This window comes from Homo sapiens, chromosome 10 (assembly GCF_000001405.40).
Source record: "Homo sapiens chromosome 10, GRCh38.p14 Primary Assembly".
Classification (NCBI taxonomy): domain Eukaryota; kingdom Metazoa; phylum Chordata; class Mammalia; order Primates; family Hominidae; genus Homo; species Homo sapiens.
Window position 1 is genome coordinate 102,527,938 of NC_000010.11, and position 17,856 is coordinate 102,545,793.

General features: G+C 45.1%; 1 protein-coding gene across 12 annotated transcripts in view, besides 1 other annotated feature; it reads left to right on the forward strand.

The window, feature by feature from the left end:
• SUFU (SUFU negative regulator of hedgehog signaling) overlaps positions 1 to 17,856 on the forward strand; it is a 130,717-nt gene that overhangs the window by 25,119 nt on the left and 87,742 nt on the right. The gene's annotated exons all lie outside the window — the stretch shown is intronic.
• Positions 9,240 to 9,399: an enhancer, noted in NCBI's record as "active region_3940". NCBI's record gives its function as "activates an Ori minimal core promoter by ATAC-STARR-seq in GM12878 lymphoblastoid cells {active_cell/tissue: GM12878}" and the evidence as "EXISTENCE:reporter gene assay evidence [ECO:0000049][PMID:35858748]".

Genomic DNA, 17,856 nt, shown 5'->3' on the forward strand with positions numbered 1-17,856 from the left:
CCCAAATCAGACTGTGATCTTGTCGCCATTGGCCTAGCCTGTCTTTTTTTATTTTTAAGAAGACCTTTGTAAAGGTGTTGCTTTAAGCCAAAGCCAAGAGTGGGAGCTACCATATTGATGCCAAGAAACCCAAGCACTGGGCTTCTTCCTTGGCCCAGAATTCCTGTAGCGCTCCAGGCTGGCTTAGGAGTCCCCTGGGGGCTGGCTGACCTTTGAGTTTGGGGGTGGTTGGGAGTAGATGGAAGAAGGTGCAACAGATGTCCAGCAGGGGATGGTTGAATGTGAGCTTTTACCACCCTGCAAGAAAGGGTCTGGTGCCCTTGGCTTAGAATTTCTAAAATTCAGTATCTTGGCTGGTACAATGGCTCACACCTGTAATCCTAACACTTTGGGAGGCCGAGGTAGGAGAACTGCTTGAGCCCAGGAGTTCAAGACCAGCCTGGGCAACATAGTGAGGCCTCATTTCTACAAATAATAAAAAAAATTAGCCAGGCATGGTGGCATGTGTCTGTAGTCTCAGCTACTCAGTGGCTGAGGTGGGAGGATTACTTGAGCCCAGGAGATCAAGGCTGTAGTGAGCTGTGATCACGGCACTACACTCTAGCTTGGGCAACAGAGTGAGACCCTGTCTCAAAAAATAAATAAAAATAAAATTCAGTGTCTTATTCCAGGAAACCCTTTGCTCACTGAAAGCCCAGGACAGAGTTAAGCTGCCTGAAGTGTTGGGAGCCGGAAGAGTTTATTTGACTGGATTCTCAGCCGAATCAGTGCTGGGAGCCACTGTTTTTGAACTTGAGGAATGCTGTGGGAACATGGTCTTTGGCTCCCAGCAAAATGTCTCAGGAACCATCTACTTGAGTGGGGCAAATGCATTCCATGAATCTGGTTGGTTGGGGTATAGCGCAAAGAAAGCTTCTATAACCCAGAGTTGCAACTCAAAGGTGGCTGCTGCACTGTAGCCTTATTGGACTCCCAGGTCAGAGTATGAGAGTGCAGTCTTCGCTGATGTGGCTTTTTTCCTTTCTTTTTTTTTTTTTTTTTAAGATTATATAAAATTGATTAAATATAACGAGATTTATGGGTTTTTTTTCTATTATTTTGTTTTTATAACTGGAGGCTTAAAAGCTTAGCTATATCAGAATATTATCATATAAACATATTTCAAAAGTTATTTTTACAAAGTTTTGCTACATACAGTAGTATTTGTGTTGTCACCCAACACCATTTTCAAATGTCTAATAAAGTATCAGTAATTTTGAATTATAAATAAAAAATAATCTCTGCAGTTGTTTATTTAGTAGTTGTTGACTGAATTCTGTTGTAATGGCTGTGACTCAAAGCATCTCACAAAGGAAATCTCAGGTCTGGTTAGAAGGTTCTGGGAGGGACCCAAGGTCAGGAAATTGGGTGAAGCTGAAAGCAGCTTTTGAAGGACTGGGCTGATTAAGATCCAGAGCCCAGAAGTTAGGGAAGCTGGAGGCATCTGCTGATATTTTAAAGGATAAATGATGAGCAGAGTTTGCTTTGAGTGAGTACTAAGAAAAGGAAAGTTGCAGCCAGGCTCAGTGGCTCACGCCTGTAATCGCAGCACTTTGGGAGGCCTAGGCGGGTGGATCACGAGGTCAGGAGTTCGAGACCAGCCTGGCCAATATGGAAGGCTGAGGCAGCAGTGAGCCATGATCATGCCACTGCACTCCAGCCTGGGCAACAGAGTGAGACTTTATCTCTACTAAAACCCCATCTCTACTAAAAATACAAATATTAGCCGGGAGGCCAAGGCGGGCAGATCACAAGATCAAGAGATCAAGACCATCCTGGCCAACATGGTGAAACCCCATCTCTACTAAAAATACAAAAATTAGCTGGGCATGGTGGCATGCACCTATAGTCCCAGCTACTCGGGAGGCTGAGGCAGGAGAATCGCTTGAACCCGGGAGGCAGAGGTTGCAGTGAGCCGAGATCGCGCCACTGCACTCCAGCCTAGCGACAGAGTGAGACTCCGTCTCAAAAAAAAAAAAAGAAAAGAAAAAGGAAAGTTGCACACTAACTGCCGTGGAAGGGCACTTGCTAGGTGCCAGACACTGTGCTGTCACACTAAAACCTCCCACCCTATGAGATGAGTGTTCTTCTCCCAGTTTTACAGATGAGGAGCCTTGCACACATGGAAGTTAACTTGCCCACCAGTCAGCTAGAGAAAGGTGGAGCTGGGGTTTGATGGGCTCAGTTGCTTCCACAGCGTGTATTCTCGTCCACTTTGCTGGGCTCCTCTCTGGCATCTTATTGGGATGCTGGAGTAATATGTTAATAATTTCATGCAGTTTCCACCTAAGTCCACCCAGAGACCTCCAAAGGGTCCAAAGATCGTGAGACTAAGAATGTCTGACACCTGCCTTCCTCACTTCCCAACTTCCCTGTCTCTAAGCCAGGCTCAACACTCTGCCTAAGTCCTTCAGCCCATAACCTTGGGCTGGCATTTAGTTTCTCTTTACCTTTGTCCACTATTTTAAATCTTTTTTTTTTTTTTTTTTTTTAATGGAGACAGGGACTCACTCTGTTGCCCAGCCTGAGTGCAGTGGCACAGTCATAGCTCACTACAGCCTCAAACTCCTGGGCTCAAGTGGTCCTCATGCCTCAGCCTCTTGAGTAGATAGGACTTCAAGTTTGTGCCACCATGCTTGGTTAATTTTTAAATTTTTTATAGAGATGGGGTCTCACTATGTTGCCCAGACTGGTCTTGAACTCCTGGGCTAAAGCAATCCTACTGCCTCGGCCTCCCAAAGTACTGGGATTACAGGTGTGAGCCACCATGTCTGGCCTTCTGTGACTCTTAATCCCAAGGAAATAACCCAAATATGGGAAGGAAACGAGGTAATATGCACAAAAATATTTTCCAAGGCATAGCTTTGGAAGCAACCTTATGTCCAACAAGAAAGCAGTGGTCAAATAGAGGACTATATATGGTTTTCCTGGTTTTGTAATAAATGATAATAGTAATTATCAAGAAAATTGTAGTTTCTTGGCTGTGCATGGTGGTTCACACCTGTAGTCCCAGCGCTTTGGGAGGCTGAGTCAGGAGGATTGCTTGAGCCCAGAAGTTTGAGACCAGTCCAGGCAACATAGCAATACCCCATAACCCATTTCTACCAAAAAAAAAAAAAAAAAAAAAATGTAATCAGGTGTAGTGGTGCACACATGTAGTCCCAGCTACTCAGGAGACTGAGGCAGGAGGATCACTTGAGCCTGGAAGGCTGAGGCAGCAGTGAGTCACGATCATGCCACTGCACTCCAGCCTGGGCAACAGAGTGAGACTTTATCTCTAAAAGAATAAAAAATAAAAATAGTAATTTCTTAATTGTGTAAACTGACAGATCAAAAATTGGAGAGCCTTGGAGTCTTAACCAAGGGGCCAGGCACCCCCAGAGTCAACATCAGAAGCTCAAAATTGCAGGACTGGTTCAGCCTCATTACTCCCATCGCCCAGCCTTTGTAGTCCCAACTGGCTTTGCTGGACAGGTCACCTTTCTTGTTGAGCTGATGCCCATTCCTTTGTTCGGCTGCTTTCACTGAGCACTCCTGTGCCAGTCAGTGGGGTGTACAAAGGGGTAAATCCTGTCCTGATGGGAGAGATAGGCAGCTGCAATACAGCAAGGAGAGTCCTGTGATGGAGGTTTGCACAGGGGTAAGGAAGAAGTGATGAGAGCCCTCTCTTGGTCAGGGTCCCAAATAAGGGATTGGTGCCTTCAAAGTAAGATATTGGAGGAAGGTATATTTATAAAGGAATAGCATAGGGGATAGTGATGTAACCCAGGGCTAGTGGTTGGCCTGGCTGTCACTCTCCTAAGGCTGAAGGGACCAGAAGAGGGAGTGGGATCCAAGAACCTAGAGGAGAAAGTTGTGTTGAGTGTTCTTGAGAGTGACTGTTAGCAGTGACCTTCAATCAAGGGGCATAGCACCTCGGGCAATCCCAAAGGGAGGGAACTCTAGCCTCACTCTCCTCCCTTCTGCTGATTTCCTGTGAGAACTTTTTTTTTTTTTGAGATAGAGTCTTGCTCTGTTGCCCAGGCTGGAGTGCAGTGGCATAGTGGCATGATCTTGGCTCACTGCAGCCTCTGCCTCCCGAGTTCAAGCAATTCTCCTGCCTCGGCCTCCTGAGTAGCTGGGATTACAGGTGCATGCTACTATGCTCAGCTATTTTATTATTATTATTTTTGGTAGAAACAGGGTTTCACCATGCTGGCCAGGCTGGTCTGGAACTCCTGACCCTCTAGTGATTCTCCCATCTCTGCCACCCAAAGTGCTGGGATTGCAGGCGTGAGCCACCATGCTCCTGTTAGAACTTTCACTGGCTTAACCCAATTAGATGCCAGAGGGCCCAGGAGCCCCACACAGGCCAGCCCTCTAGGGCAGGGAGCAGGGTGGACATACTGGTTTTCTGTTGCTGCAAATCAGCAGCTTACAACACACATTTGTTCTCTCACATCTCCTTTGCACCAGGAGTCCAGGAATAGCTCATCTGAGTGCTATGCTTAGGTCCTCCTAAGGCTGTGGTCAGAGTGTCAGGCGGGCTGCATCCTCATCTGGGGCTCCAGTGGGGAAGGATCTGCTTCCCAGCTCCCTCAGGTTTGTGTTGGCAGAATTCCTTTCCTTGGAGCTGTCAGGGATCTGTCTTGCACAGTGGGGAATGGAAGGGCAAACAGAAGATACTCAGAGAAGGTGACACCTGAGCCTTCCTGAAGATGAGCAGAGGGCAAAGAAGAGAACACCTGCGCAGAGTTTCGGAGGCAAGGGAGTCATCAGTGTGTCCACAGATCTGCCAGTCCATTCATTTGGCCTAGAGTATAAGGCAGAGGAGGTATAGGACCTGTTTCACGGTGGCCTAGTGAGACTTACTGAGAAGTCTGGACTTTGTTCTGCAGATTGGGGATAGGGATGGGCTTTGGAGGATTTTTAAGCAGGAGAAAGGTGTATCGTTTCCATTTTGGGAACAACACTGAACAGCAGGAGGCAGGAGATCAGTGAGGAAGAGGTTGTTGGCCACCCAAGTGAAGGATGCAGAAGGCTAACGCATGGTGTGGCAGTTGAGATGGAGAGAAGAGGACAGATTGAGGGCCACTGAGAAGGGAGGGGGCAGAGTTGCCAGAACTCACTGACTGTCTGACCAGCTGCACATGGGGAGAGGGAGGACTGGAGGATAACTCTTGGGATTCTGGCCTGGTGGATTTTTTAGTTCCTATTGCTGCCATAAAAAATTACCACAAAATTAGTGTCTTGGAACAATATACACTTATTGTGTTATAATTCTGGAGGTCAGAAGTCTAACATGTATCTCACTGGGTCAAAATCAAGGTGCCAGGCTGGGTGCGGTGGCTCACACCTGTAATCCCAGCACCTTGGGAGGCTGAGGCAGGAGGATGGCTTGAGCCCAGGAGTTCGGGACCAGCCTGGGCAACATGGTGGAACCCCATCTCTACAAAAAAAAAAAAAAAATTAGCCAAGCATGGTGGCCTGTGCTTGTGGTCCCAGCTATTTGGGAGGTTGAGGTGAGAGGATCACCTGAGCCCAAGAGGCTGAGGCAACAGTGAGCCGTGATCATGCCACTGCACTGCAGCCTGGGCAACAGAGCAAGACCCTGTCTTGAAAAAAAGCAAAGTGCCTGAGGGAGAATTCGTTTCCTTGCTGTTTCCAGCTTCTAGAGGCCATGTCCATTCCTTAGCTCACGGCCACTCCCTCCATCTTCAAAGTGAGCAACAACAGACAAATTCTCACGTCACATCTCTCTGATCTTTTACCTGTCTCTTTCATTAAGGATTCATGGATTAGATTGAGCCCACCGAGGTAATTCACTGTAAGATCATCCCCATCTCAAGATCCCTAACTGAATTACATTTGCAAAGTCCCTTTTGCCATTTAAGGTAGCATATCACAAGTTCCAGGGATTCAAATGTGGGCATTAGGGAACATTTATTCAGGCTACCACAGTGGTGCTCTTCTTCAAGCTAGGTAAAGATGGAAAGATCAGGTTTGGTAAGATACTGAGTTTGGATTTGTGTAGACTGAACTAGAAGTATCTAGGTCTGGTTCTTTGCTTGGGTATAGATTTGGGAATCCTCAACAGAGGTGTGGTGGCTGAAGCCATTTCATGAGGTTGCTGAAGGAGACCGTGTGGTGAGGAGGGGCGGAGACTGAGTCCTGGAGAAAGTGGAACTCTGGGCCAGGCGCGGTGGCTCACGCCTGTAATCCCAGCACTTTGGGAGGCTGAGGCGGGTGGATCACTAGGTCAGGAGATCGAGACCACCCTGGCTAACACAGTGAAACCCCGTCTCTACTAAAAATACAAAAAATAAGCCGGTGTGGTGGCAGGTGCCTATAGTCCCAGCTACTTGGGAGGCGGAGGCAGGAGAATGGCGTGAACCCGGGAAGCGGAGCTTGTGGTGAGCCAAGATCGTGCCACTGCACTCTGGCCTGGGCTACAGAGCGAGACTCTGTCTCAAAAAAAAAGAAAGTGGAACTCTGACTTTGTCCCTCTTTCCCCACCTAGGAAGTCCCCTAGGGGACAGGCGGAGGCCACGCAAGGGGAAATGTTCACGTTCTGCTTTCCTAGTGAAGAGGTTTCCAATGACGGCCTCCCTTCGCCAGACTGTCGTTCATCCTCTGCGTAGGTGTAAGGGGCAGAGCAGTGGCTAGTCCTGGGGCATCATGGGGCTTGGGCCAGCACTGAAGGTCTTAGAGCAGATTGACAGGAAACGGTACAAATAGGAAAGGCAGCTGGCATTCCAAGCATGTGCTGGAGTTTGGGTGAGTGGTCCTTGGACTTGCTTGGCATTGCCCTGGGATACAGAGAGATTGTAGAGAAGCTGCAGGCAGCCTCTGTAAAGCCCTAGAGCAACAGGAGGTCTGCGGTTTAGGTTTCTCTATAGTCTCTGGGTCCAGCTGGGCCTAAGGCTGGGCTTGTCCCTATGCCTGTTGGAGACATGCATGGGAGATGTGTATGTGTGTGCACTTAGAGGGAGGCCACTGAAGGAAAAGGTCTGCAGGTCTATACCACCCATGCCCACCTCCACCCCCTACCCCCTGCACAGGATCTAGGTCCATTCTTCTGGAGGGAATAGCTAGCCCAGTAAGGTGAGAACTCAGCCTGATTCCCAAGGAGAAGGGCTGGTTGGAAAGGAGGACTAACCCCAGGATAAAGGATGGGTCTGCCCAGTTCTCCATCCAGCCTGGGACCAGGAGGAAGGGGAAGAGGAAGGGGGAAAGAAAGAGACAACAGGGCCGGGCGCGGTGGCTCACGCCTGTAATCCCAACACTCTGGGAGGCTGAGGCAGGCGGATCATGAGGTCTGGAGTTCGAGACCATCCTGGCCAACATGGAGAAACCTCGTCTCTACTAAAAATACAAAAAATGAGCCGGGCATGGTGGCACACGCCTGTAGTCCCAGCTACTCAGGAGGCTGAAGCAGGAGAATCTCTTGAACCTGGGAGGTGGAGGTTGCAGTGAGCCCAGATTGCACCACTGCACTTCAACCTGGTGACAGCGTGAGACTCCGTCTCAAAAAAAAAAAAAAGAGAAAGAAAAGAAAGAAAAAAGAAAGAAATAAGAGCTTTTGTAGGGGAAGAAGTGACATCACCCCTGGTTCTGGAGTTGGACTGGGCTGGCCTCCTATGCCATGTGTTTCCGGAGGCACATGGTCCCCTCTTCCCTTTCTTCTGATACCATCACTGGGCTTGAGACTGAGCCATAATGCCTAACCCTGGTACCTTTGCAGGGTCAGTAGCCACCGTGGCTGGCCTGGCATTCCTTGCTTCAAAGACCAATGGAAGCATCCAGGCCACCCCCAGAGGAAGGGGCCTGACCTTGGGCCTCTCTTGCCATGTCCTTGGCATATGCATATGAACACTTAGCAACAGACTATGTGAAGCCTTGCACGCTAGACCTGCAGATACAGTAGTGACCAAGATACAACCCTGCCCTTGTGGGGTTTATAGTCTAGGCTGGAGATGATGATGATGATGATGATGATGATGATGATGATGATGTTGTTGATGATTTTAAGACAGAGTCTTGCTCTGTCTCGCTTCGGTTAGAGTGCAGTGGCACCATCTCAGCTCACTAGAGCCTCTGTTTCCTGGGTTCAAGAGATTCTCCTGTCTCAGCCTCCTAAGTAGCTGGGACTACAGGCGCCCACCAACACACCCGGTAATTTTGTATTTTTAGTGGAGACGGTTTCACCATGTTGGCCAGGCTGGTCTGAAACTCCTGACCTCAGGTGATCCACCTGCCTCGGCCTCCCAAAGTGCTGGGATTACAGGCGTGAGCGTGAGCCACTGTGCCTGGCCAGGAGATTATAAATGGTAGAAAATTTTGGAAAATACAAAGAAGTTTGAAAAACAAAAATTATACTGTAGTAGCCACTATAATAATTTTATTGCTTTTTTTTTTTTTTTTTTTGAGACAGAACCTCACTCTGTTGCCAGGCTGGAGTGCAGTGGTGCAATCTCGGCGCACTGCAACCTCCGCCTCCCGGGTTCAAGCAATTCTCCTGCCTCAGCATCCCGAGTAGCTGGGACTACAGGCGCCTGCCACTACACCTGGCTAATTTTTGTATTTTTAGTAGAGACAGGGTTTCACCATGTTGGCCAGGATGGTCTCGATCTCTTGACCTCGTGATCCACCTGCCTCGGCCTCCCAAAGTGTTGAGATTTCAGGCGTGAGCCACCATGCCTGGCCTGCATTTTCTTTTTCCCTTATATATTTTACTCACATTTAAAATTTCGTATTTACATCAACATTTTGAATCATACTTTATGTTGAATTTTGTTTTGTGTTTTTTCATAACTACTTATTTGTGGCATAATGTACATAACTTATCTTTTTCTTAAATTATTATACTTTTTGAGATGGAGTCTTACTCTGTTGCCCAGGCTAGAGTGCAGTGGTGTGATCTTAGCTCACGGCAACTTCTGCCTCCTGGGCTCCACTGATCCTCCTGCCTCAGCCTCCCGAATAGCTGGGACTGCAGGCATGTGCCACCAAACCCAGCTAATTTTTGTATTTTTAGCAGAGAGAGGGTTTCACTGTGTTGGCCAGGCTGGTCTTGAATTCCTGACCTCAGGTGATCTGCCCGCGTTGGTCTCTCAAAGTGCTGGGATTACAGGCATGAGCCACTGCACCCAGCCTACATAATTTAAATTTACCTTTTTTTTTTTTTTTTTTTTTGAGTCAAGGTCTTGCTCTGTCACTCAGGCTGCAGTGCAGTGGTGCAGCCACAACTTACTGCAGCCTGGACCTCCCAGACTCAGTGATTCTTCTGCTACAGACTCCGAGTAGCTGGGACCACAGCTGCACACCACCATGGCCAGCTAATTTTTAAATTGCTTGTAGAGATGGGATGTCCTTATGTTGCCCAGGTTGGTCGCAGACTCCTGGGCTCAAGCAGTCCTCCCACCTTGGACTCCTATAGTGCTGGGATTATAGGCATGATCCACTGCACCCAGCCCAAAATTTACCATTTTAACCATTTTTAGATTTACAGTTCAGTGGAATTAAGTACATTTACCTTGTTGTGCAACCATAACCACCTTCCACTTTCAGAAACACTCTGTACCCCTTAAACAATAACTCCCCCTTCTCACTTCCTCCAAACCCTGGCAACCACCATCTTATTTCTGTCTCTATGAATGTGACTACTCTGGGTACTTCATATAAGTGGAATCATATGACATTTGTCCCTTTGTGCCTGGCTTATTTCACTTAGCATAATGTCTTCAGGGTTCATCCATGTTGTAGCAGATGTCAGAATTTTCTTCCTTTTTAAAGGCTAATATTCCATTATATGTGTATACCAATTTGGCTTGTCCATCCATCTATTGACTGACTCTTGGGTTGCTTCTACCTTTTGACTATTGCTAATAATGCTACTCTGAACATCAGTATACAAATTTCTATTCAAGACCCTGCTTTCAGTTCTTTTGGATATATACCTGGAAGTAGAATTGCTGGATCATGTGGCAATTCTATGTTTAATTTTTGAGGAACCGCCATACTGTTTTCCATAGCAGCTGTATCATCTTACATTTCCACCAGCAATGTGTAAGGGTCCTAATTTCATGACCATTGTGAAAGGAGTTTATTTTTATGCTATAGTGAATAATAGGTGAACAGAAAACATTAGAGGCTATAGAGTGGGGTTCTGATGTAAAGTTCCTGTTCCTCTTTACCAGTAAGAGGTGGAAAGAGAACCCCTCACCTCTCAAAGATTAGTCCCTCTGCTTTCAGAACCATTGTTTTTAGTGACTTGTAATGTCCTACCACATAATGTGCCAGAACTCATATAATACCGCTACTTGTAGAACAGTTAGATTGTTTCTAGATTTTTTATTCTTATAAATACTACTGAATATACTTATGCAAGAGGCTTTTTTTTTTCCAAATGTAAGATTATTCCCTTAGGTAAATTAGCAGAACTGGAAACTGCTACTGTAAGTAATCACTGACACTAAGATCTACTGTGTTCCAGGTGCTGTTCTAAGTGTTTTCTATATTATATGTTAACTCATTTTAGTAGCTACCATATGGAAACTACAATTATCTTCGTTTTTGAAAAAAGACTTTTTTAGAGCCGTTTTAGGTTCTCAGCAAAATTGAGCAGAAAGTACAGAGAGCTACCACACACCCTCTGCTTACCACACGCATGCATGCACACACACACATGTATGCAGCCTCTCCCGCTGTCAACATCCTTACCCAGATTGGTACATTTGTTACAGTCAGTGAACCTACGTTGACACATCATCACCACCCAAAGTTCATAGTTTACATTAGAAGTGAGAAGGTATATAAGTGAAATGTAGATAAGAAGAGAAGTAAACTCTTCTTATCTACATTTTACAGATGAAGAAACTGAGGTACAGAGAGGCTAAGTGATTTGCCAAGGGTCACACAGCCAGGAAGGGTGGCAGAGCTAGGATTTGGGCATAGGCAGCCTGGCTTCAGAGACTGTGCTCTGGCACTGCTGACATTTTGGTGGCTCTTGATGCATATTCAGTGCTTTTTAAGTGTGGCAGTGTTTTGCTTTGTGCGGGTCAGACAGTGGACACTTCAGGATCGGTTGACCAACTGTCCCCATTTGCCTGGGCTTTTCCTGGTATGTGGGGCTTTCAGTTCTAAAGCCAGAAAAGTCCTGGGCAAACAAGACAAGTTGGTCACCCTGCTTCAGTGACTCCAGAGTCTTTTTTAGTAACTTAATTGTCACATCTCTTAGATGCCTTCAAATGTTTCCTCAATCTTTCTGTTTTTCATGACCTTTTGAAGAGTACAGGTCAGTTATTTTATAGAATGTCCTTCAATTTGGATTTATCTGATGTTTCCTCATGCGTAGGATCAGTGTATGTATTTCTCCATAGGAATATCACAGACATGTTGTGCCCTTCTTAGTGATCATATCAGGAGGCACTTGATGTTGATTTGTCTAATTACTGTTGATGATGTCTAATTACTTTGATTGTTTGGTTAAGGTGGTGTCTGCTAGGTTTCTCTTCTGTATAGTTACTGCTTTTCCATTAATAATTAATAAGTAACTTGTGGGAAGGCATTTTGAGGCTATGTCAGTATCTTGTTTCTCATCAGATTTTTTACCCACTATTTTTACCACCCGTTGATGATTCTTGCCTGAATTATTATTACAATAGTTGTCAAATGGTGACTTCTCATTTGATAATTGTTTCTACATTCATTCATTGATATTGAGATTTTACTGTAAGGAAGAGTCTTCTCCATATTTACTTACTTATTCATTTATTTATATCAATGTATTAGGGCTCTCTAGGAAAAACAATTGGAGATGCACATCCACATATCTATATATTATCTATACACATAATATAAATACAAATCTATAAAGAGATTTAGGAGAAAGAATTAGCTCATGCGATTACAGATGCTGGCAAGTCCAAAATCTTTAGAGCCAGTGTCACTAGGTCCATTACAATCAGTGTGGACTCATAGATTTTTATTTTAATTAATAGATTATAATTTGTTAGGATGCTTTAATTTAATGCTCAGATTGTTGTTGATTTGGCCAGTGAGAACCTTGAGTTTGGCTTCTCTCTACTTTTGGCATGTTCCCATCATTCTCTGAACCACTTCCTTACTTTCTGGCACAGTAGGAAATTTCAGAATCATTTTGTACTTTGCCAGCCCAGGAATCAGCCATTTATCCAGGAAGCCCTGGTTTTATTTAGTGGAGAATGGTATATAGAAGCCATGATCCGGAGGCTAGGTATTATCATTGCTCTTGGAGTGTCACTGCTCCCAGTGGCCAGAACTAGGAAACACACATGCACATATACACATACCACTCTATTTCCATATTGGTTTCTCTCTTAAATACCATGAATTCATACTGATACCTCCAATTCTAAAGCTATACCTATGGGGGCCTGGTGCAGTGACTCATGCCTGTAATCCCAGCACTTTGGGAGGCCCAAGTGGGTGGATCACTTGAGGTCAGTAGTTCAAGACCAGCCTGGCCAACATGGTGAAACCCCGTCTCTACCAAAAATACAAAAATTAGCCAGGTGTGTTGGTGCACACCTGTAGTCCCAGCTGCTCAGGAGGCTGAGGCAGGAGAATCACTTGAACCTGGGAGGCAGAAGTTGCAGTGAGCCAAGATCACACCACTGCACTCCAGCCTGGGCAACAGAGCAAGACTCTGTCTCAAAAAATAATAACTAACTAACTAAATAAATACTATACCCGTGGCATTCATTCCTGCCTGCCTTTAAAATATATATATATATATATTTCAGACCAGGCACAGTGGCTCACACCTACAATCCTAGCGCTCTGGGAGGCCAAGGTGGGTGGATCACTTGAGGTCAGGAGCTCGAGACCAGCCTGGCCAACATGGTGAAACCCTGTCTCTACTAAAAATACAAAAATTAGCTGGCCGTGATGGTGTGCGCCTGTAATCCCAGCTACTCGGGAGGCTGAGGCAGGTGAATCACTTGAACCCGGGAGGCGGAGGTTGCAGTGATCAGAGATCGCGCCATTGCACTCCAGACTGGGTGACAGAGCAAGACTCCATCTCGAAAAAAAAAAGTTACTTGGGTTATATCTTTTCTTCCCCCTTTCAGTGTGGTTATATGGTTGATTTGAAATACTGTTAGGTTCATTAATTTCTGTTTGTATTATATTTTAGCATTTTCTCCCTCCTCATTGATTCTGTTTCATTTATTTTGAGTATGTGAAAGCATTATCACGGATCCAAAACCAAAAGTGAGAACTATACAAAAAGGTATATTCAAATAAATGTTACCCACCTCCACACCCTGCAGTGCTTTCTACCGCCTTCCCACCTACTGTATGTAAGAATCCATCTCATTCATTTTTGGTTTATCCTTCCCACATGGCTTTCTACAGAAATGAGTAGGTAATGTATATTTTCCTACTTTTCTTTCTTTCTTTCTTTCTTTCTTTTTTTTTGAGATGGAGTCTCGCTCTGTCACCCAGGCTGGAGTGCAGTGGTGCGATCTCGGCTCACTGCAACCTCTGCCTTCTGGGTTCAAGCGATTCCCCTGCCTCAGCCTCCCTAGTAGCTGGAACTACAGGCATGTGCCACCACGCCTGGCAAATTTTTGTATTTTTAGTAGAGACGAGGTTTCACCATGTTGGCCAGGCTGGTCTCCAACTCCTGACCTCAGGTGATCTGCCTGCCTCGGCCTCCCAAAGTGCTAGGATTGCAGGCGTGAGCCACCGCGCCCGGCTTTTTTTTTTTTTTTTTTTTTTTTCCTTTTGAGACAGTTTTGCTCTTGGTGCCCAAGCTGGAGTATAATGGTGTGATCTCGGCTCACCGCAACCTCCACCTCCCAGGTTCAAACAATTCTCCTGCCTCAGCTTCCCTAGCAGCTGGGATTGCAGGTGTACACCGCCATGCCCGGCTAATTTTTTTTTTTTTTTTTTTTTTTGAGACAGAGTTTCGCTCTTGTTGCCCAGGCTGGAGGGCAATGATGGTGCGATCTTGGCTCACTGCAACCTCTGCCTCCTGGGTTCAAGCAGTTCTCCTGCCTCAGTCTCCCGAGTAGCTGAGATTACAGGCATGCGCCACCATGCCCGACTAATTTTGTATTTTTGGTAGAGATGGGGTTTCTCCATGTTGGTCAGGCTGGACTTGAACTCCCGACCTCAAGTGATCCACCCACCTTGGCGTTTTTTTTTTTGAGATGGAGTCTCACTCTGTTGCCTGGGCTGGAGTGCAGTGGCGTGATCTCGGCTCACTGCCACCTCTGCCTCCCGGATTCAAGCGATTCTCCTGCCTCAGCCTCCTGAGTAGCTGGGATTACAGGTGCACGCCACCACTCCCAGCTAGTTTTTGTATTTTTAGTAGAGACAGGGTTTCTCCATGTTGGTCAGGCAGGTCTTGAACTCCTGACCTCATGATCCGCCCACCTCGGCCTCCCAAAGTGCTGGGATTACAGATGTGAGCCACTGCGCCCGGCCTATATATATATATATTTTTTTTTAAGTAGAGATGGGGTTTCATCATGTTGGCCAGGCTGGTCTTGAACTCCTGAACTCAGGTGATCCACCTGCTTTGGCCTCCCAAAGTTCTGGGATTACAGATGTCAGCCACCATGCCTGGCTCCTATCTTCCTTTCTTTCTTCCTCAAAAACATACTATAATATCCTTTTGCTCTTTTTTTTTTTTTTTTGAGACTGAGTCTCCCTCTGTCACCCAGGCTGGAGTGCAGTGGCGTAATCACAGCTCACTGTACCTTCTGCTTCCTGGATTCAAGCAATCCTCCTGCCTTAGCCTCCTGAGTAGCTGGGACTACAGGCACGTGCCACCATGCCCAGCTAATTTTTGTACTTTTTGTGGAGGCAAGGCTTCGCCATGTTGCCCAGCCTGGTGTCGAATTCCTGGGCTCAAGCAATCTACCGGCTTTGGCCTCCCAAAGTGCTGGAATTACAGGCATGAACCACCGTGCCCAGCCTCTTTTGCTTTTTTCGCCTAACAGTGTTTATACCAATTTGTAGAGTTCTTCATTCTTTCTTACAGCAGCATTTTCTTACAGCACTTTGAGTCATTCTCCTATAAATGGGCATTTAGGTGATTTCCAGTATTTTGCAATTATAAGTTCTTAGAAGTGGGATTGCTGGATCCAAAGGTATAAACCTATACGTAGTTTTATTAGGTACTGCCTAATTCTCCTCCATATAAGTTGTACTAATTTATATCCATACCGGCAACATATGAGAGTGTCTCTTCCCCCACAACCTCAGCAACAGAATATGATGTCATACTTACTAATTTTTGCCAATCTGATAGGTGAGAATGGTATCTCATTGTTTTCATTTGCATTTCTTTTATTATGTGTGAGGTCAAACATCTTGTCTTATGCTTAAGGGATATCTGTATATCTCGTTTGTGAATTTTTTCTATCAGGTTTTTGAGTTTTTTCCAAATTAAAAAATAAATGAATAAAGCATTTATTGATATAATTAATGTAGCATACAGTTCACCCATTTAAAATGTACGCTTTCATGGTTTTTTGCATATTTATAGTTATGTAACCTTCACTACAATCTAATTTTAGAACTTTTTCTTTACCCTGAAAAGAAACTCCATCCATATTCATTAGCAGTTACTCCCAATTCATCCCCACTACCCCAGTCCTAGGCAACCATTAATCCACTTTCCCCATAGATTTGTCCATTCTGGACATTTGATGTAAGTATAATTTATATTATATATTACGAATTATACAATTTTTCCTGTAATATAAATAAAATCATACAACATATGGTCTTTTGTGACTGGCTTTCTTCACTTAATGTAAGTGATATAATGCTTATAGTGTTCTGAGTACTGTTTCCAAATGTTTAATCCCCAATAACAACTCTATGAAACAGTTACTGTTATTATCCCCATTTTATAGATGAGGAAACTGACACACAGAAGAGGTTAAATAGCTTGCCTCTGGTCACACAGCCATAAGAAGATAGACTTAATTAGGCAAAAATAGATTAATTAGGCACACACTTGTAATTTCAGCTACTCGGGAGGCTGAGGTGAGAGGATCTCTTGAACCCAGGAGGTCATGGCTGTGATGAGCCCTGATTGTGCAGCTATACTCCAGCCTGGGCAGCAGAGTGAGACCCTGTCTCACAAAAAAAAGATGAGCTTTGGAGTTATACAGACTTCAAGTTCTAGCTCTATCACTTGTTCTGTGATTTATGGACTATTACACAAACTCCATCAGTGTTTCTCATTTGTTTGTTAAATGAGTATAACAATGGCTGAGTCCTAGAGTTATAGAGAGTTAAACGATATGACATCAGGTATACCTGAGATGCCAGCTTTTTAAAAATAAATCATATACCATGAAATTCACCCTGTTAAAGTGTGTAATTCATTGGTTTTTAAGTATATTTATAAGGTTACACAACCAGTACATTATCTAATTCCAGAACATTTCCATCTCCCAGGCCAGGCACGGTGGCTGACGCCTATAATCCCAGCACTTTGGGAGGCCGAGACGGGCAGATCACTTGAGATCAGGAGTTTGAGACCAACCTGGCCAACATGGTGAAACCCTATTTCTAGTAAAAATACAAAAATTAATGGTGTGGTGGCACGCGCCTGTAGTCCCAACTACTTGGGAGGCTGAGGCAGGAGAATCGCTTGAACCCAGGAGGCAGAGGTTGCAGTGAGCCAAGATTGTGCCACTGCACTCCAGCCTGGGCAACGGAGTGAGACTCTGTTTCAAAAACAACAACAACAAAAAAGAATTTCCATCATCCCAAAAAGAAATTCTGTACCCATCAGCAGTCACTCCCCATTCTGTCCTCACCCTAGTTTCTGGCAACCACCAACCTATTTTCTGTCTCTATAGATTTGTCTATTATGGACATTTCATAAAAATAGAATCATACAATAGGTAGTCTTTTGTATCTGGCTTCTTTCACTTAGCATGATGTTTTCAAGGTCATCCATGTTATAGCGTATGCATACTTCATTCTTTTTTATTTCCAAGTTATATTTCATTGTACAGGTATACCATATTTTGTTTATCCATTCCTCAGTTGATGGACATTTGGGTTGTTTCTACTTTTTGGCTACTATGAATAATGCTACTATGAACATTGATGTATACGTTTTCATGTGAACAGGTTTTCTTTTTTCTTTTTTTTTTTAGACAAGGTCTTACTCTGTCACCCAGGGTGGAGTGCAGTGGCACCATCAAGGCTCACTGCTGCCTTGACCTCCCTCGGCTCAGATGATTTTCCCACTGCCTCAGCACCCCCACCCTGGGTAGCTGGGACTACAGGTGTGAGCCACCATGCCTGGCTAATTTTTGTATTTTTTTTTTTTTTTTTTTTTGTAGAAACGGGGTTTGGCCATGTTGCCTAAGGTGGCCTCAAACTCCTCGGCTCAAGTGGTCCATCCACCTCGGTCCCCCAAAGTGCTGGTATTACAGGCATGAGCCACTGCATCCAGCCAGGTTTTCAGTTCTCTTGGGCATATACTTAGGAGTGGAATTGCTGGATCATATGGTGACTCTGTTTAACTTTTTTAGGAACTGCCAAACTCTTTTTCCAAAGTAGCTCCATCATTTTATATTCCCCCTAATGATGTGCAAGTATTCCTATTTCTCCACGTCCTCTCTAACACTTACTATCTCTTAGTTATGATAGAGGGTGTGGAGGGGCAGTAGCTCACTGTGGTTTTGATTTGCATTTCCTTAGTAATAAATAATGGGCTGGGCACAGTGGCTCACGCCTGTAATCCCAGCACTTTGAGAGGTAGAGGCGGGCAGATCATCTGAGGTCAGAAGTTCGAGACCAGCCTGGGCAACATAA